Genomic DNA, 19569 nt, shown 5'->3' with positions numbered 1-19569 from the left:
ACCTCTTTCTCCTCCCAATCTTGGCACCACACTTCAATCTCTCCCTTCTCTTAATTTCAATTCCTTTCATTTTCTGGTAGAGACAAAGGGGACACGTTTTATCTGTGGACCCAAAACTCTGGCACCAGTCACGGACTAGTGAAGGCAGCCTTTCCTTGGTGTTTAATCACTTGCAGGGACACCTCTCTGATTATTCACCGAGGTTTCAGAGGTGTCAGACCATGCAGGGATGCCTGCCTTGTTCCTTCACCCTTAGCAGCAAGACCTGCTTTTCTGGGGGAGGGACAAGAACCCCTCAACCCCTTCTCCTTCACCCTTAGCAGCATGTCCCACTTTTCTGGGGGAGGGACAGGAACCCCGACCTCTTATCTCTGCACCCCGATCCCTTATTTCCATGCCCTGACCTCATCTCTGTGTCCCGATCCCTTATTTCCACAACCTGACCTCTTATCTCTGCACCCCAACCCTTTATTTCTGTGCCCCCAACCCTTTCCCTCTATTCTGGAAGGCAAGAACCCCCCACCCCTTCTCTCCATGTCTCTACTCTCTCTTTTCTCTAGGCTTGCCTCCTTCACTATGGGCAAGCTTCCGCCTTCCATTCCCCTTTCTTCTCCCTTACCCTGTGTTCTTCAAAACCTAAAACCTCTTCAACTCACACCTGACCTAAAACCTAAATGCCTTATTTTCTTCTACAATGCTACTTGACCCCAATACAAACTCAGCAGTGGTTCCAAATAGCCAGAGAATGGCACTTTCAATTTTTCCATCCTACAAGATCTAGATACTTCTTGTCATAAGATGGGCAAATGATCTGAGATGCCTGATGTCCAGGCATTCTTTTACACATTGGTCCCTCCCTAGTCTCTGTTCCCAGTGCAACTCATCCGAAATCTTCCTCCTTTCCCTCCCACCTGTCCCCTCAGTCCCAACCCCAAGTGTCGCTGAGTCTTTCTAATCTTCCTTTTCTACAGACCCATCTGACCTCTCCCATCCTGGCCAGCCTGAGCTAGGTCCCAATTCTTCCTCAGCCTCCACTTCTCCACCCTATAATCCTTTTATCACCTCCCCTCCTCACACTGGGTCTGGCTTACAGTTTAATTCCGTGACTAGCCCTCCCCCACCTGCCCAGCAATTTACTCTTAAACAGGTGCCTGGAGCTAAAGACATAGTCAAGGTTAATGCTCCTTTTTCTTTATCCCAAATCAGATAGCATTTAGCCTCTTTTTCATCAAATATAAAAATCCACCCCAGTTCATGGCTCGTTTGGCAGCAACCCTGAGATGCTTTACAGCCCTAGACCTTAAAACGTCAAAAGGCCGTCTTATTCTCAATATACATTTTATTACCCAATCTGCTCCCGACATTAAATAAAACTCCAAAATTAAATTCCGGCCCTCAAACCCCACAACAGGACTTAATTAACCTCAACTTCAAGGTGTACAATAATGGAGTAGAGGCAGCCTAGCAGCAACATATTTCTCAGTTGCAATTCCTTGCCTCCACTGTGAGACAAAGCCCAGCCAAATCTCCAGCACACAAGAACTTCCAAACGCCTAAAGCGCAGTGGCCAGGCATTCCTCCAGAACCACCTACCCCAGGAGCTTGCTACAAGTGCCAGAAATCTGGCCACCAGACCAAGGAATGCCTGCAGCCCGGGATTCCTCCTGAGCCATGTCCCATCTGTGCGAGACCCAACTAGAAATCGGACTGTTCAACTCACCTGGCAGCCACTCCTAGAGCCCCTGGAACTCCAGCCCAAGGCTCTCTGACTCATTCCTTCCCAGATCTTCTTGGCTTAGCAGCTGAAGACTGACACTGCCTGATAGATCACCTCGGAAGCCTACAGGACCATCACAGACGCTCTAGGTAACTCTCACAGTGGAGGAGAAGTCCATCCCCTTCTTAATCAATACGGAGGCTAACCACTCCACATTACCTTCTTTTCAAGGGCCTGTTTCCCTTGTCTCCATAACTGTTGTGAGTATTGACAGCCAGGCTTCTAAACCTCTTAAAACTCCCCAACTCTGGTGCCAACTTAGACAATACTCTTTTAAGCACTCCTTTTTAGTTGTCCCCACCTGCCCAGTTCCCTTATTAGGCTGAGACACTTTAACTAAATTATCTGCTTCCCTGACTATTCCTGGACTACAGCCACTCCTCATTGCCACCCACCTTAACCCACAAGTAGAAGATACCTCTATTCCCTCCTTGGCAACCTATCACGCACCCCTTACCATCTCATTAAAACCTAATCACTCTTACCCCTCTCAATGCCAATATCCCATCCCACAGCATGCTTTGAAAGGATTAAAGCCTGTTATCACTCACCTGCTACAGCATGGCCTTTTAAAGCCTATAAACTCTCCTTACAATTCCCCCATTTTACCTGTCCTAAAACCAGACAAGCCTTACAAGTTAGTTCAAGATCTGTGCCTTATCAACCAAATTGTTTTGCCTATCCACCCCAAGGTGCCAAACACATATACTCTCCTATCCTCAGTTCCTCCCTCCACAACCCATTATTCTGTTCTGAATCTCAAACATGCTTTCTTTACTATTCCTTTGCACCCTTCATCCCAGTCACTCTTCGCTTTCACTTGGACTGACCCTGACACCCATCAAGCTCAGCAAATTACCTGGGCTGTACTGTCGCAAAGCTTCACAGACAGCCCCCATTACTTCAGTCAAGCCCAAATTTCTCCCTTATCTGTTACCTATCTCAGCATAATTCTCATAAAAACACACGTGCTCTCTCTGCCGATCGTGTGTGACTCATCTCTCAAACCCCAACCCCTTCTACAAAACAACAACTCCTTTCCTTCCTGTGCATGGTTGGATACTTTCACCTTTAGATATCTGGTTTTGCCATCCTAACAAAACCATTATATAAACTCACAAAAGGAAACCTAGCTGACCCCATAGATCCTAAATCCTTTCCCCACTCCTCTTTCTGTTCCTTGAAGACAGCTTTAAAGACTGCCCCCACCCTAGTCTTGGTTCCCTGACCGGGAAGCGAGGTAATTGACGGCAGTTGAGGCAGCCCTTTAGGCGGCTTAGGCCTGCCCTGTGGAGCATCCCTGCGGGGGACTCCTGCCAGTTTGAGCGACGCGGATCCTGAGAGCTCTCCTGGGTAAGCAATTGACCCGGTGGAATGCCTCGTCAGAGCAGTGTGTGGTAGGCCCCGGTGGAGGATCAACATAGTGGGTGAACACCGGGAAGGAACAGGCACTTGGAGTCTGGACATTTGAAACTTGGTAAGACTGGTCTTTGGAACTTGCCCACTCTATTTGAGTGGAAGTGTGGCCTGATCACCCACGGCGTGCCTGTACTGGCACTTTGGTTTTTGTTTTTGACTTGAATTGAATTGCTTGATACTTTGGTTTTGGTTTGACCTGGCTTGGATTTCTGGATACTCCGATTTTGGTTTTGATTCTGGTTTGGTGAAAACTGAAAAAGTGTGTGTGTGCCCTTTTTACTCATTCTTTGTTCTGTGGTGTGCGTGTGGTGTGAGCTTGGTGTTTTGTCTCGAGGAAACGTGGGTCAGACACAAAGTAAGCCTACTCTGCTAGGAACTATGATGAAAAATTTTAAGAAAGGATTTAATGGAGACTATAGGGTTACTATGACACCAGGGAAATTTAGAACTTTGTGTGAAATAGATTGCCCAGCTTTAGAAGTGGGTTGGCCATCAGAAGGAAGCCTGGGCAGGTCCCTTGTTTCTAAGGTATGGCACAAGGTAATTGGTAAGTCAGGACACTCAGACCAGTTTCCATACATAGACACTTGGTTACAGCTGATGCTAAACCCCCCACAGTGGCTAAGAGGGCAGGCAGCAGCAGTGCTAGTAGCGTAGGGACAGATAGCCAAGGAAGGATCGTGCTCCACCCGCCGAGGGAAATCAACACCTGAAGATCTGTTCAACCCAACAGCAGAACATGCATTGCAGGAGATGGCACCAGTGATCCCAGTGGTGCCCTCCCCTTACCAGGGAGAAAGGCTCCCCACTTTTGAGTCCACAGTGCTTGGGCCTCCACAAGACAAACATATCCCTAGGCAATCCAGAGTATACAAAAGAAGAGGTGAGGACTCGGGAGGAACCCCTCCCTTGGCAGCTCGTTTAAGACCCAAAACGGGGATCCAAATGCTCCTGAGAGAGCAGCGGTATACAGGGATAGATGAGGATGGTCATGTGGTGGGGAGGCGTGTTTCTGTGTACCAGCCCTTCACCTCTGCCCACCTTCTCAACTGGAAAAATAGTACCCCATCCTATACCAAAAAGCCACAAGCTCTAATTGATTTGCTCCAAACTAATATCCAGACCCACAACCCCACTTGGACTGATTGTCACCAGCTGCACATGTTCCTCTTTAACACAGATGAAAAATGGAGAGTGCTAGAAGCAGCAACTAAGTGGCTAGAGGAACATGCACCGGCTGATTACCAAAACCCCCAAGAGTATGTAAGGACCCAGTTACTGGAACCGACCCCCAGAAGGACCCAAATGAAAGAGAGGATATGCAAACGCTAAACCGAGACAGGGAAGCTCTCTTGGAAGGATTAAAGAGGGGAGCCCAGGAGGCCACAAATGTTAACAAGGTCTCTGAGGTCATTCAGAGAAAAGAAGAAAGTCCAGCACAATTCTAGGAGAGACTGTGTGATGCCTATGGTATGTATACACCCTTTGATCCCGATAGCCCTGAAAATCAATGCATGATTAACATGGCTTTAGTTAGTCAAAGCGCAGAAGACATTAGAAGAAAACTGCAGAAACAGGCTGGGTTTGCAGGGATGAACACATCACAGTTATTAGAAGTAGCTAACCAGGTGTTTGTAAACAGGGATGCAGTAAGCCATAAGGAAAACTGCAGAGAGAAGGAACGTCAGGCCCAGCGAAACGCCGACCTGTTAGCGGCAGCAAACAGAGGGGTCCCCCAAAAGAGGCAAGGGAAGGGGGGCCCCGGGAAAGAAACTCAGCCTGGCTGTCAAAGGTTGCAGCGTAATCAGTGTGTTTATTGTAAAGAAATAGGACATTGGAAGAGCAAATGCCCTCAGCTAAAAAGAAAACAAGGTGATTCGGAGCAAGAGGCTCCAGACAAGGAGAAAGGGGCCCTGCTCAACCTGGCAGAAGGGTTATTGGACTGAGGGGGACCGGGCTCAAGGACCCCGAAAGAGCCTATGTTCAGGATGACAGTTAGGGGTAAAGACATTGATTTTCTTGTAGATACTGGTGCTAAACATTCGGTAGTAACCGCCCCGGTCACCCCCTTATACAAAAAGATTATTGACATCATCGGAGCCACAGGGGTTTCCGCAAAGCAAGTTTCTGCTTGCCCTGGACTTGTACTGTAGGAGGACATAAAGTGATTCATCAGTTTTTGTCCACGCCTGACTGTCCCTTGCCCTTATTGGGAAGGGACTTGCTTAGCAAACAGAGAGCCACTATCTCTTTTACAGAGCATGGCTCTTCGCTGCTAAAGTTACCCGGAACGGGAGTCATTATGACCCTTACCGTCCCCCGAGAGGAGGAATGGAGACTTTTCTTAACTGAGTCGGGCCAAGAGATAAGACCAGCTCTGGCTAAGCGGTGGCCAAGAGTACGGTTGGAAGACAACCCTCCAGGGTTGGCAGTCAACCAAGCCCCCGTACTTATAGAAGTTAAGCCTAGGGCCCAGCCATTTAGGCAAAAACAGGAGCCGGTCCCCAGAGAAGCTCTTGAAGGTATCCAGGTCCATCTCAAGCACCTAAGAACTTTTGGAATTAGAGTTCCTTGTCAGTCTCCATGGAACACTCCCCTCCTGCCTGTTCCCAAGCCTAGGACCAAGGACTACAGGCCGGTACAGGATTTGCGCTTGCTTCATCAGGCTACAGTGACTTTACATCCAGCAGTACCTAACCCGTACACATTGCTGGGGTTGCTGCCAGCTGAGGACAGCTGCTTCACCTGCTTGGACCTGAAAGATGCTTTCTTTAGCATCAGATTAGCCCCTGAGAGCCAGAAGCTGTTTGCCTTTCAGTGGGAAGATCCGGAGTCAGGTGTCACTACTCAGTACACTTGGACCCGGCTTCCCCAAGGGTTCAAGAACTCCCCCACTATCTTCGGGGAGACATTGCCTCGAGACCTCCAGAAGTTTCCCACCAGAGACCTAGACTGCGTATTGCTCCAGTAGGTTGATGATCTTTTGCTGGGACACCCCACGGCAGTCGGGTGCGCCAAGGGAACAGATGCTCTACTGCGGCACCTGGAGGACTGTGGGTATAAGGTGTCCAAGAAAAAAGCTCAGATCTGCCGACGGCAGGTACGTTACTTAGGATTTACTATCCGACAGGGGGAGAGCAGCCTAGGATCAGAAAGAAAGTAGGTCATTTGCAATCTACCGGAGCCTAAGACCAGAAGGCAGGTGAGAGCATTTTTAAGGGCTGTGGGGTTTTGCAGACTGTAAATCCCAAACTTTGCAGTATTAGCCAAGCCTTTGTATGAGGTCACAAAGTGGGGGGACCGGGAACTTTCTGAATGGGGATGCCAGCAACAGCAAGCCTTTCATGAGTTAAAGGAAAGACTTATGTCAGCCCCAGCCCTGGGGCTACCCGATCTAATAAAGCCTTTTCCATTGTATGTGTCAGAAAGAGAAAAGATGGCAGTTGGTGTTTTAACCCAAACTGTGGGGCCCTGGCCAAGGCCGGTGGCCTACCTCTCTAAACAACTAGACGGGGTTTCTAAAGGATGCCCCTTGTTTGAGGGCCTTGGCAGCAACTGCCCTGCTAGTACAAGAAGCAGATAAGCTGACTCTTGGACAAAACCTGAACGTAAAGGCCCCCCATGCTGTGGTGACTTTCATGAATACTAAAGGACATCATTGGCTAATGAATGCTAGACTCACTAAGTACCAAAGTTTGCTCTGTGAAAATCCCCGCATAACCATTGAGGTTTGTAACACCCTACACCCCGCTACCTTGCTCCCAGTATCAGAGAGCCCTGTCGAGCATGACTGTGTAGAAGTGTTGGACTCAGTTTACTCTAGCAGACCTAACCTCCAGGAACAGCCTTAGGCATCAGTAGACTAGGAACTACACGTGGCTGGGAGCAGCTTCATCAACCCACAGGGAGAGAGATGTGCAAGCTATGCGGTGGTAACTCTGGACACTGTTGCTGAAGCCAGATCGTTTCCCCAGGGCACTTCAGCTCAGAAAGCTGAACTCATTGCTTTCATTCGGGCCTTAGAACTCAGTGAAGCTAAGAATGTCAACATTTACACTCACTCTCAATATGCCTTTTCAACCCTTCAAATGCATGGAACATTATATAAAGAAAAGGGCTTATTGAACTCTGGGGGAAAAGACATAAAATATCAACAATAAATCTTGCAATTATTAAAAGCCGTATGGAGACCCCACAAGGTGGCAGTTATGCATTGCAGAGGACACAAGCGAGCTTCCACCTTGGTGGGTTTAGGGAATTCCTGCGCTGACTTAGAGGCTCGAAAAGCAGCATCTGCCCCCTTCTGGGCATCAATCACAACCCCCCTGCTCCCTCAAGCACCTGATCTGGTACCTACTTATTCTAAAGAAGAAAAGGACTTTCTCCAGGCAGAGAGAGGACAAGTGATGGAGGAAGGATGAATTCGGTTACCGGATGGGAGAGTAGCTGTGCCACAGCTGCTAGGAGCTGCAGTTGTACTGGCTGTGCGTGAAACCACCCATCTAGGTTAGGAATCACTTGAAAAGTTGTTAGGCTGGTATTTCTACATCTCGCATTTGTCAGCCCTTGCCGAAACGGTGACGCAGTGGTGTGTTACCTGCCGACAGCATAATGCGAGGCAGGGTCCAGCCGTTCCACCCGGCATACAAGCTTATGGAGCAGCCCCCTTTGAAGAGCTCCAGATGGACTTCACAGAGATGCCAAAGTGTAGAGGTAACAAGTATTTACTAGTTCTTGGGCGTACCTACCCTGGGTAGGTGGAAGCTTATCCAACACGAACTGAGAAAGCTCATGAAGTAACTCGTGTGCTTCTTCGAGATCTTATTCCTAGATTTGGACTGCCCTTATGGATCAGTTCAGCTAATGGGCCGGCGTTTGTGGCTGACTTAGTACAGAAGGCGGCAAAGGTATTGGGGATCACACGGAAACTGCATGCTGCCTCCTGGCCTCAGAGTTCTGGAAAGGTGGAGCGAATGAATTGAACTATCAAAAATAGTTTAGGGAAAGTATGTCAGGAAACAGGATTAAAATGGATACAGGCTCTCCCTATGGTATTATTTAAAATTAGATGTACCACTTCTAAAAGAACAGGATATTCCCCTTATGAAATATTATATCATAGGCCCCCTCCTATATTGCGGGGACTTCCAGGCACTCCCTGAGAGTTAGGTGAAATTGAGTTACAGCGACAGCTACAGGCTTTAGGAAAAATTACACAGACAATCTCAGCCTGGGTAAATGAGAGATGCCCTGTTAGTTTATTCTCCCCAGTTCACCCTTTCTCCCCAGGTGATCGAGTGTGGATCAAGGACTGGAAAGTAGCCTCTTTGTGTCCACTGTGGAAAGGACCCCAGACTGTCGTCCTGAGCACTCCCACCGCTGTGAAGGTAGAAGGAATCCCAGTCTGGAACCACCACAGCTGTGTAAAACCTGCAGCGCCGGAAACCTGGGAGGCAAGACCAAGCCCAGACAACCCTTGCAGAGTGACCCTGAAGAAGACGACAAGCCCTGCTCCAGTCACACCTGGAAGCTGACTGGTCCACGCATGGCCGAAGCATGAGGAAGCTCATCGTTAGATTCATTTTTCTTAAATTTTGGACTTATACAGTAAGGGCTTCAACTAACCTTACTCAAAATGGGGACTGTCCCCAGTGTATTTATCAGGTCACCGAAGTAGGACAGCAAATTAAAACAATCTTTCTGTTCTATAGTTATTATGAATGTATGGAAACATTAAAAGAAACTTGTTTGTATAATGCCACTCAGTACAAGGTATGTAGCCCAAGAAATGACCGACCTGATGCGTGTTATAGCCCATCTGAGCCCGCTGCAACCACCGTTTTTGAAATAAGAACTGGCCTTTTGCTAGGTGATACAAGTAAAATAATAACTAGAACAGAAGAAAAAGAAATCCCCAAGCAAATAACTTTAAGATCTGATGCTTGTGCAGCCATTAATAGTAAAAAGCTAGAAATAGGATGTGGTTCTCTTAACTGAGAAAGGAGCTAAAGAGTAGAAAATAAATATGTTTGTCATGAGTCAGGGGTTTGTAAAAATTGTGCCTATTGGCCATGTGTTATTTAGGCTACTTAAAAAAAGAACAAAAATGACTCGGTTTATCTTCAGAAGAGAGAAGCCAACCCCTCCTGGGCCGCCGGTCACTGTAACCCACTAGAACTAATAATTACCAATCCCCTAGATCCCCTTTGGAAAAAGGGAGAACGTGTAGCCCTGGGGATCAATAGGACAGGGTTAAACCCTCTAGTTGCCATTTTAATTAGAGGGGAGGTCCACAAGTGCTCTCCCAAAACAGTATTTCAAACGTTTTATGAGGAGCTGAATCTGCCAACACCAGAACTTCTGAAAAAGACAAAAAATTTGTTTCTCCAATTAGCAGAAAATGTAGCTAATTCCCTTAATGTTACTTCTTGTTATGTATGCGGAGGAACCACTATCGGAGACAGATGGCCTTCGGAAGCCCGAGAGTTGGTGTCTACTGATCCAGCTCCTGATATAATTCCAGTTCAGAAGGCCCAAGCTAGCAACTTCTAGGTCCTAAAACCTCAATTATTAGACAATACTGTATAGCTAGAGAAGGGAAAGACTTTATCATCCCTGTAGGAAAGCTTAATTGTATAGGACAGAAGTTGTATAACAGCACAACAAAGACAATTACTTAGTAGGGCCTAACCCACACTGAAAAGAATCCATTTAGTAAATTTTCTAAATTAAAAACTGCTTAGGCTCATGCAGAATCTCATTAGGACTGGACGGTTCCCACTGGACTATACTAGATACGTAGGCACAGAGCCTACATTCGGTTACCTAATAAATGGGCAGACAGTTGTGTTATTGGCACTATTAAGCCGTCCTTTTTCTTATTACCCATAAAAATGGGTGAGCTCCTAGGTTTCCCTGTCTATGCCTCCTGAGAAAATAAAGGCATAGTTATAGGAAACTGGAAAGATAATGAGTGGCCCCCTGAAAGGATCATTCAGTATTATGGGCCTGCCACAGGGGCACAAGATGGCTCATGGGGATACCAAACCCCCATCTACATGCTCAACTGGATCATACGGTTGCAGTCCGTCTAAGAAATAATTACTAATGAAACTGGCAGAGCTTTGACTGTTTTAGCTTTGCAAGAAACCCAAATGAGGAATGCTATCTATCAGAAAAGACTGGCCTTAGACTACTTGCTAGTAGCTGAAGGAGTTTGTGGAAAATTTAACTTAACCAACTGCTGCCTACAAATAAATGATCAAGGACAGGTGGTTAAAAACATAGTCAGGGACATGACAAAGGTTGCACATGTGCCTGTAGAGGTTTGGCACGAGTTTAATCCTGAGTCTTTATTTGAAAAATGGTTTCCAGCTATAGGAGGATTTAAAACCCTCATTGTAGGTGTATTGCTAGTGATAGGAACTTACTTGCTGCTCCCCTGTGTATTACTCTTGCTTTTTCAAATGATAAAAGATTTTGTTGCTACTTTGGTTCATCAGAAAACTTCAGCACACGTGTGTTATATAAATCACTATCGCTCTATCTCACAAAGAGACTCAAAAAGTAAAGATGAGAGTGAGAACTCCCACTAAAAAGTGAAAATGCTCAAAGGGGGGAAATATGGTATGAGACCACCACTTCTCCTGTTGTCCTTCCCAGTTTCTCCCCAACCTCCCCTTTTCCCTAGTTTATAAGACAGCAAAAAAGGGAGAAAGCAAAAAGCTGGAAAAAACAGAAGTAAAATAAATACCTAGACGACTTTGGCGCCACCACCTGGCCCTGGTGGTTAAAGTAACAATAATATTAACCCCTGACCAAAACTACTGTTGTTATCGGTAAATCCCAGACATTGTATGAGAAAGCACTGTAAAAACTTTTTGTTCTGTTAGCTGATGTATGTAGCCCCCAGTCACGTTCCTCAAGCTTCCTTGATCTATTATGACTTTTTCACGTAGAACCCTTAGAGTTGTCAGCCCTTAAAAGGGCTAGGAATTTCTTTTTCAGGGAGCTCGGCTCTTAAGACACGAGTCTGCCGACGCTCCCGGCCGAATAAAAAAACCTCTTCCTTCTTTAATCTAGTGTCTGAGGAGTTTTGTCTGGAACTCGTCCTGCTACACTAGCTCTCCGTGACTCATCCCAACCCTTTTCATTACACACAGCCGAAGTGCAGCGCTGTGCAGTTGAAATTCTTACACAAGGACCAGGATGGCGTCCTGTAGCCTTTTTGTCCAAACAACTTGACCTTACTGTTTTAGGTTGGCCGTTGTGTCTCCGTGCAGCAGCTGCTGCCACCCTAAGACTTTTAAAGGCCCTTAAAATCAGAAACTATGCTCAACTCACTCTCTACAGCTCTCATAATTTCCAAAATCTATTGTCTTCCTCACACCTGCCACACATACATTCTGCTCCCCGGCTCCTTCTGCTGTACTCACTCTTTGTTGAGTCTCCCACAATTACCATTGTTCCTGGCCCAGACTTCAATCCGGCCTCCCCCATTATTCCTGATACCACACCTGACCCTCATGACTGCATCTCTCTGATCCACCTGACGTTCACCCCATTTCCCCATATTTCCTTCTTCTCTGTTTCTCACCCTTACCACACTTAGTTTATTGATGGCAGTTCCACCAGGCCTAATTACCACACATCAGCAAAAGCAGGCTATGCTATAGTACAAGCCACTAGCCCGCCTCTTAGAACCTCTCATTTCCTTTCCATCGTGGAAATCTATCCTCAAGGAAATAACTTCCCAGTGTTCCATCAGCTATTCTACTACTCCTCAGGGATTCTTCAGGCCCCCTCCCTTCCCTACACATCAAGCTCAGGGATTTGCCCCCACCCAGGACTGGCAAATTAGCTTTACTCAACGTGCCCCGAGTCAGGAAACTAAAATACCTCTTGGTCTAGGTAGACACTTTCACTGGATAAGTAGAGGCCTTTCCCACAGGGTCTAAGAAGGCCACCACGGTCATTTCTTCTCTTCTGTCAGACATAATTCCTCAGTTTGGCCTTCCCACCTCTATACAGTCCGATAGCAGAACTAACTTTAGTAATCAAGTCAGCCAAGCATTTTTTCAGGCTCTTAGTATTCAGTGAAACCTTTATATCCCTTACAGTCCTCAATCTTCAGGAAAGGTAGAACAGACTGATGCTCTTTTAAAAACACACGTTACCAAGCTCAGCCACCAACTTAAAAAGGACTGGACAATACTTTTACCACTTTCCCTTCTCAGAATTCCGGCCTGTCCTTGGAATGCTACAAGGTACAGCCCATTTCTTGCGGGAAGTCAGGGACCCCAAACGGAGGGACCGGCTGAAGCCATGGCAGAAGAACGTGGATTGTGAAGATTTTATGGACATTTATTAGTTCCCCAAATTAATACTTTTGTAATTTCTTATGCCTGCCTTTACTGCAATCTCTAAACATAAATTGTAAAGATTTCATGGACACTTATCACTTCCCCAATCAATATCCTTGTGATTTCCTATGCCTGTCTTTGCTTTAATCTCTTAATCCTGTCAGCCGAGAAGGATGTATATCGTCTCAGGACCCTGTAATAATTGCGTTAAGTACACAAATTGTACAGCATGTGTGTTTGAGCAATATGAAATGTGGGCATCCTGAAAAAAGAACAGGATAACCGCAGTCGTTCAGGGAATAAGAGAGATAACCTTAAACTCTGACCGCTGGTGAGCCCGGCAGAACAGAGCCATATTTCTCTTCTTTCAAAAGCAAATGGGAGAAATATCACTGAATTCCTTTCTCAGCATGGAACGTCCCTGAGAAAGAGAATGCGCACCTAGGGGTAGGTCTCTGAACTGGCCCCCCGGGGCTTACCTGTCTCTTAAGGTCGAGATTGCAGAGGCGAAATAAACTGCAGTCTCCCATAGCGCTCCCAGGCTTATTAGGAAGAGGAAATTCCCGCCTAATAAACTTTGGTCAGACCGGTTGATCTCAAAACCCTGTCTCCTGATAAGATGTTATCAATGACAATGGTGCCAAAACTTCATTAGCAATTTAAATTTCACTTCGGTCCTGTGGTCCTGTGATCTCGCCCTGTCTCCACTTGCCTTGTGATATTCTATTACCCTGTTAAGTACTTGATGTCTGTCACCCACACCTATTCGTATACTCCCTCCCCTTTTGAAACTCCCTAATAAAAACTTGCTGGTTTTTGTGGCTTGTGGGGCATCATGGATCCTACCAATGTGTGATGTCTCCCCCGGACGCCCAGCTTTAAAATTTCTCTCTTTTGTACTCTGTCCTTTTATTTCTCAAGCCAGTCAATGCTTAGGAAAATAGAGAAGAACCTACGTGATTATCGGGGCAGGTCCCCCGATACCCCTTGGATCTCCTGTATAGACACTCCTTTTTGTTAGGCTCCAGTCTCATTCCAGACACAAGACCAACTTGGACTGTGCCCCAAAAAACTTGTCATCCCTACTATCTTCTGTCTAGCCATACTCCTATTCACCATTCTCAACTACTCATATATGCCCTGCTCTTGTTTACACTGGTGGTTTACACTGTTTCTCCAAGCCATCACAGCTGACATCTCCTGGTGCTATCCCCAAACCACCACTCTTAACTCTTAAATAATCTTTGCTGGCAAGGCTATGCTGAACCTCCTTAGGCACTCTCTAATTTGATGTCCTAGGTCTTCCCAATTCTTAGTCCTTTAATACCTGTTTTTCTCCTTCTCTTATTCCGTTTAGTTTTTCAATTCATACAAAACTGTATCCAGGCCATCACCAATAATTTTAAATGAAAAATGTTTCTTCTAACAACCCCACAATATCACCCCTTACCACAAAATCTTCTTTCAGCTTAATCTCTCCTACTCTAGGTTCCCATGCCACCCCAATCCCACTGGAAGCAGCCCTGAGAAACATCGCCCATTGTCTCTCCATAACACCCCCCAAAAATTTTCACCATCCCAATACTTTACCACTATTTCATTTTATTTTTCTTATGAATATAAGAAGACAGGAACGTCAGGCCTCTGAGCCCAAGCTAAGCCATCATATCCCCTGTGACCTGCATGTACACATCCAGATGGCCGGTTCCTGCCTTAATTGATGACATTCCACCGCAAAATAAATGAAAATGTCCTGTTCCTGCCTTAACTGATGACATTATCTTGTGAAATTCCTTCTCCTTGCTCATCCTGGCTCAAAAGCTCCCCTACTGAGCACCTTGTGACCCCCACTCCTGCCTGCCAGAGAACCCCCCTTTTTCCTTTACCTACCTAAATCCTATAAAATGGCCCCACCCCTATCTCCCTTCGCTGACTCTCTTTTTGGGCTCAGCCCACCTGCACCCAGGTGAAATAAACAGCTTTATTGCTCACAGAAAGCCTGTTTTGTGGTCTCTTCACACGGACGCGCCAGAAAAAGGGTGTCCTTTTTTTTTTTTTTTTTTTTTGAGATGGAGTTTCACTCTTGTTGCCCAGGCTGGAGTGCAATGGCATGACCTCAGCTCACTGCCACCTCCTCCTCCTGGGTTCAAGCAACTCTCTTGCCTCAGCTTCCCCAGTAGCTGGGATTGCAGGCATGCGCCAACATGCCCGGCTAATTTTGTATTTTTAGTAGAGATGGGGTTTCTCCATGTTGGTCAGGCTGGTCTCAAACTCCTGACCTATGGTGATCCACCCGCCTCGACCTCCCAAAGTGCTGGGATTACAGGCATGAGCCACTGCGCCGGGACAAAAGTGTCCTCTTATAAGGACACTTGTCTTTAGATGTACAGCCTACCTAAATTACTCCAGGATAATCTCGAGATCCTTAACTTAATTACATCTGCAAAGACCCTTTTTCCAAATAATGCCACCTCCACAGATTCTAGGCACAAGGATCTGGATATATATTGTGCAAAGCCACCATTCAGCTCACTACACTAGAAAGAGGAAAAACAACGAAGTAACAAAAGGCGCAGAAGAAAGAACAGATGCAGCTTGTGTGGCAGTGGCCATCGAGGCAGGATGGGGTAAAACTGTGTTAACAGAACCCCGAGATGGAACTCAAGTGTGGCCGTCTACTCCCAGCTACTCACAGAGAACGTTTCTGTTTCTGACAGCAGAGTAAGAGAAGGGGTGGGAAGAGAGATAGCCCATTCTTTGTTGGCCTAATTCCTAAGGAATTGTGCCTCTGCCTTCGGGTCATTCTCAAGTCTTGTTCAAGGACAAAATGATTTATTGATGGCCATAATTAAAAAGCAATGCCAACAGAAGCAGCCTCAGCATTTTTCATTTGTACTTACACATGAGCGAGAGCAGTTTAGGGAAACGGGTGTCTTCAGGTTCTGTTTTCTCCATCTAGAAAAGGGCTGCCTTCGTGGAATGCTGGTCCTGGGGAGAAGCCTCATTTCTATAGCAGGAATTGATAGAGTTTTAAATTCCGATTGGTACACGGAGCTACCCGTCCTCATTTCAAGCACTTCTGGTTAGTTCTGGGTTCAGTGGGTGAGCAATGAGTAGAACTCTGGGGAGGAGGATTTGGAGTGAGCGTGGTTTTGATCCCCAGAGGGAGTTGTTTTTCCATCAATGTCTTGGCTGTGATTCAGAATGGGCTTCTCCGCTCAAGATGGGAGTACTGGGCTAATTTAAGGCAGGTGATTGACTTGATTTGGTGGCTACTTTTATACTAGCTGGTTAAAGAGCTATTTTCTTCATTAGTTTCAGGCATATGAGCGTAATGAAGCACTGGACCTCCCAAATTACAAGGAAAATACAGATATAGCTTATGTGGTAGGTTCAAAGGAGTTAGTGAACAAACACAGTAGGGACACAAATTCTTGTTAAAGACATGAATGTATGAAAGTGTATCTATGTCCAAATGGACCCTCTGCAAGCATACTGTTCCACCTGAAAATTAGTACATAGAAATTCAGCAAATGCTTGGACAGGGGATATTCTCAGAAGTATTCTGACTCAATAGCATGGTTTATTTTCATATCACTAAAGTAATTTCTTCTCAAATTGACTCTGGACTAAATCTTATGATACCTACTTGTTCCGATTGTACTTAGCCACCTGCAAATAAGGTGGAGGCAGTGGTAAGAGGAGCTGTTGAATGAAATGAAACATTTGTTGGATGCCTACTGAAGATAAAGCCCTGTGCTTTGTGCCAGGGAGATTCCAGAATAAATGAGGCACAGACCTACTCTCAGGAAGCTTTTGCAAACTAATGGAGAAAACACATCTGCAGGCAATGACTTATGGTATAAGAGGAAATGGGGCCAGATACGGTGACTCACACCTGTAATCCCAGCACTTTGGGAGGCCGAGGTAGGTGGATCACTTGAGGTCAGGAGTTCAAGAGCAGCTTGGCCAACATGGCGAAACCCTTTCTCTACTAAAAGTACAAAAAGAAAAAAAAAAAAATGAGCCAGGCTTGATGGTGTGCACCTGCAATCCCAGCTACTTGGGAGGCTGAGGCACAAGAATCACTTAAACCTGGGAGGTGGACACTGTAGTGAGCCGAGATCCCACCACTGCACTCCAGCCTAGAAGACAGAGCGAGACTGTCAAAATGAAAAAAAAAGGAAATAAGATTGGTGTTGAATGGGAAATCTAAGGAGGATGGAATGACAGGAGAGCGCCCACTTGCCCAGCTCCAATAACACTTTTGACAGCCATGACAATATTGCAGGGACACCCATTCGTCATGGTATCTGAAGTCCCATGAAAGCTTGAGTCTGGAGGCTGCTTCAGTCTTGACTTTAAGATAAGGGGATACAATGAATGATTTTCATCTATCCCAAGCCAATAGTCCAGCCAAAAATCTAGGTCTGAGATGATGAGAAAAAGCAAGTCATCAACCATGTCAGCCATTTCATCATCATCATCATCATCATCATCATCATCATCATCATCAAAAACAAAAGACAGACCTGTAACCGTCTTGTGTGCCTGGCTCTCAGTTCACAATATAGAAGTAAATTCTATGGCCAGCGAACAATGAGCAAAATAGCTCTCATCACTCTTGTCTGCCACCATGTAAGACATTCCTTTTGCCTTCCACCATGATTTCGAGACTTCTTCAGCCACATGGAACTGTGAGCCCATTAAACCTCTTTTTCTTTATAAATTACCCAGTCTTGAGTAACAAAATAGTGGTTTGTCCACAACATCAATGAACGATGCTGTTACTTGTTCCAAACACGTATCATTTAAGAGGTTTGGATAAACAACATCCTAAAATAAATAAGCACTAAGCAAACTCAGGGCTACATAATCCCTGTGGTGAGCTAACTGACAATGGGTACAACTGGGACACTTTACCGTTAAATCACCTCTATCTACATGTGCCCAAGCAGTGACATACTTGGTTTTAATCCTAAAAAATCATGGTGCACATTTACTCCTGCCTTCCAACTGGGCTCTAATGTCACCTCCTCAGAGAAGCCCGCTTTTCTGTGCTTCCACTCTGCCTTTTCTCAGCATTTAGTAGAGCATCAGTCACCATCCATATCTGGGAACAATGATTGTAAGAAACAGAAACCCATTTGCATGAGCTTGAGGACAAGAAACACACCTTATCTCTAACAGGCAAACTCATGGGCACAAGAAACAAATGAGAGGCCATGAGAGAATGGAAACTGCAGTTACAGAAACCAAAATTCCTCTTTCTTGCTCTCAGAAGCCCATGGTCTCTTTTTTTTTTTCTTTTTTTCTTCTTTTTTTTTTTTTTTGAGACGCAGTCTCGCTCTGTCGCCCAGGCTGGAGTGCAGTGGTGCAATCTCAGTTCACTGCAAGCTGCACCTCCTGGGGTTAACGCCATTCTCCCACCTCAGCCTCCCAATTAGCTGGGGCTACAGGCACCCGCCACCACACCCAGCTAATTTTTGTATTTTTAGTAGAGATGGGCTTTCACCGTGTGAGCCAGGATGGTCTCGATCTCCTGACCTCGTGATCCGGCCATCCTGGCTTCCCAAAGTGCTGGGATTACAGGCGTGAACCACCGCGCCTGGAAGCCCATGGTCTTTCTTATCAGCCCTGTGGACTTTCTTATCTCTTCTTCTCACTCACAACCAATTTTCCCTTTTTGCTGGTGGCCCACCCTGGCAGCCAGCCGAGCCCACCGCCAGCTGATCAATCAGTTCCTGGATATCTTGGAGAGGGAGGGAGGGAGGGAGGAAGAGAGGGAGAGGGAGAGAGAGAGAGAGAATGACAATTGGGCTTCTGGCCCACCAATTGAGTATAGGGAGGGGAAGTACCATGGTACAAATATGGCTTCAAGACCTGCTTTCCAGCATGGCCAGTGAGTAGGGAAATTGAGGGAAGGTACCTTCAAACACAGCAGACATCTCAGAACATGCTCTCTGTTCTTAGTTCTCTCTCCTGCCTTCTCCTAGATTGTAAATATCACAAGACAATCTAGGATAGTACCTGGCTCAAAATATTTGAGAAAGAGGAAAAGGAAGACATTGCATCAAACTGTAGACTACATGGTTTCCTAAATTCACTCTGCAAGTTTTTGGGTTTTTTGTTTTTTGAGACAGAGTCTCGCTCTGCTGCCCAGGCTGGAGTGCAATGGGATAATCTTGGCTCACTGCAACCTCCACCTCCCAGGTTCAAGCAAATCCCCTGCCTCAGCCTCCTGAGTAGCTGGGATTACAGGCACGCACAGCTATACCAGTTAATTTTTGTATTTTTAGTACAGACGGGGTTTCACCATGTTGGCCAGGCTGGTCTCGAAATCTTGACCTCGTGATCCACCCACCTCGGCTGCCCAAAGTGCTGGGATTACAGGTGTGAGCCACCACACCTGGCCGACTCTGCAAGTATTTAAGTGAATGAATGTCAGTCCCTGAGAATCAGAATTTCTTCTGATTTAACGGCATTAAATCTCCCTTAGGTTTAATCCTGGTCAGCAGCTGTGGGGTGTCCTGGGTTTGGGATCAGTGGGATGAGGAACAAGCAGGTTCTCCAAACCACCACGCAGGGAGGGGAGGTGTTAAGTAGGCCAAAGATGATGGGTGGGGTATGTGCCTGGGTTTCAAACAGCTTATGCCAGGCCTAAAAACAGACGCTGAGGCAGAAACTGTATTAAGCAAATTGATGACACAATGGAGGAGGTCAAAAAGTTTAATATTGCTAAGAAGAATACAAATACTGATCATGCAATATGTTATTGTTATCACACCATCTCCTGCTACACGCCAGGTTTCCTTTACCATGAGATAGAAGAGATTTGTGGATCTGACCTAACCCTCCAAATTATAAGGTCTCTGAGAGTGGGCTCATGACATTCATGTTTTATAAATGTGGCATAAAGGTTAATGCTGGCTGCCATGTGACCCAATGCCAGTTTGACGCTGCATTCAAAGAACCATCGTTCCAGCATCCAAGCACACTTAAAGGCAATTG

General features: G+C 46.1%; 1 long non-coding RNA gene and 1 pseudogene across 2 annotated transcripts in view, besides 2 other annotated features; one reads left to right on the top strand and one right to left on the bottom strand.

The window, feature by feature from the left end:
• The window catches only part of FAM86B2-DT (FAM86B2 divergent transcript), a 129833-nt gene that overhangs the window by 70452 nt on the left and 39812 nt on the right, over window positions 1-19569 (bottom strand). The gene's annotated exons all lie outside the window — the stretch shown is intronic.
• The window catches only part of ENPP7P6 (ectonucleotide pyrophosphatase/phosphodiesterase 7 pseudogene 6), a 63266-nt pseudogene that overhangs the window by 14885 nt on the left and 28812 nt on the right, over window positions 1-19569 (top strand).
• Window positions 8468-9159: an enhancer, noted in NCBI's record as "H3K27ac-H3K4me1 hESC enhancer chr8:12344744-12345435 (GRCh37/hg19 assembly coordinates)". NCBI's record gives its function as "activates a minimal SCP1, AML or CMV promoter by ChIP-STARR-seq in primed H9 embryonic stem cells {active_cell/tissue: H9 hESC(primed)}" and the evidence as "EXISTENCE:reporter gene assay evidence [ECO:0000049][PMID:30033119]".
• Window positions 14309-15048: an enhancer, noted in NCBI's record as "H3K27ac-H3K4me1 hESC enhancer chr8:12338855-12339594 (GRCh37/hg19 assembly coordinates)". NCBI's record gives its function as "activates a minimal SCP1, AML or CMV promoter by ChIP-STARR-seq in naive H9 embryonic stem cells {active_cell/tissue: H9 hESC(naive)}" and the evidence as "EXISTENCE:reporter gene assay evidence [ECO:0000049][PMID:30033119]".

Source organism: Homo sapiens, chromosome 8 (genome assembly GCF_000001405.40).
Source record: "Homo sapiens chromosome 8, GRCh38.p14 Primary Assembly".
Classification (NCBI taxonomy): Eukaryota; Metazoa; Chordata; class Mammalia; order Primates; family Hominidae; genus Homo; species Homo sapiens.
The sequence above is the reverse complement of the archived record's forward strand: the minus strand, read 5'-3'. Positions and strand labels throughout refer to the sequence as shown.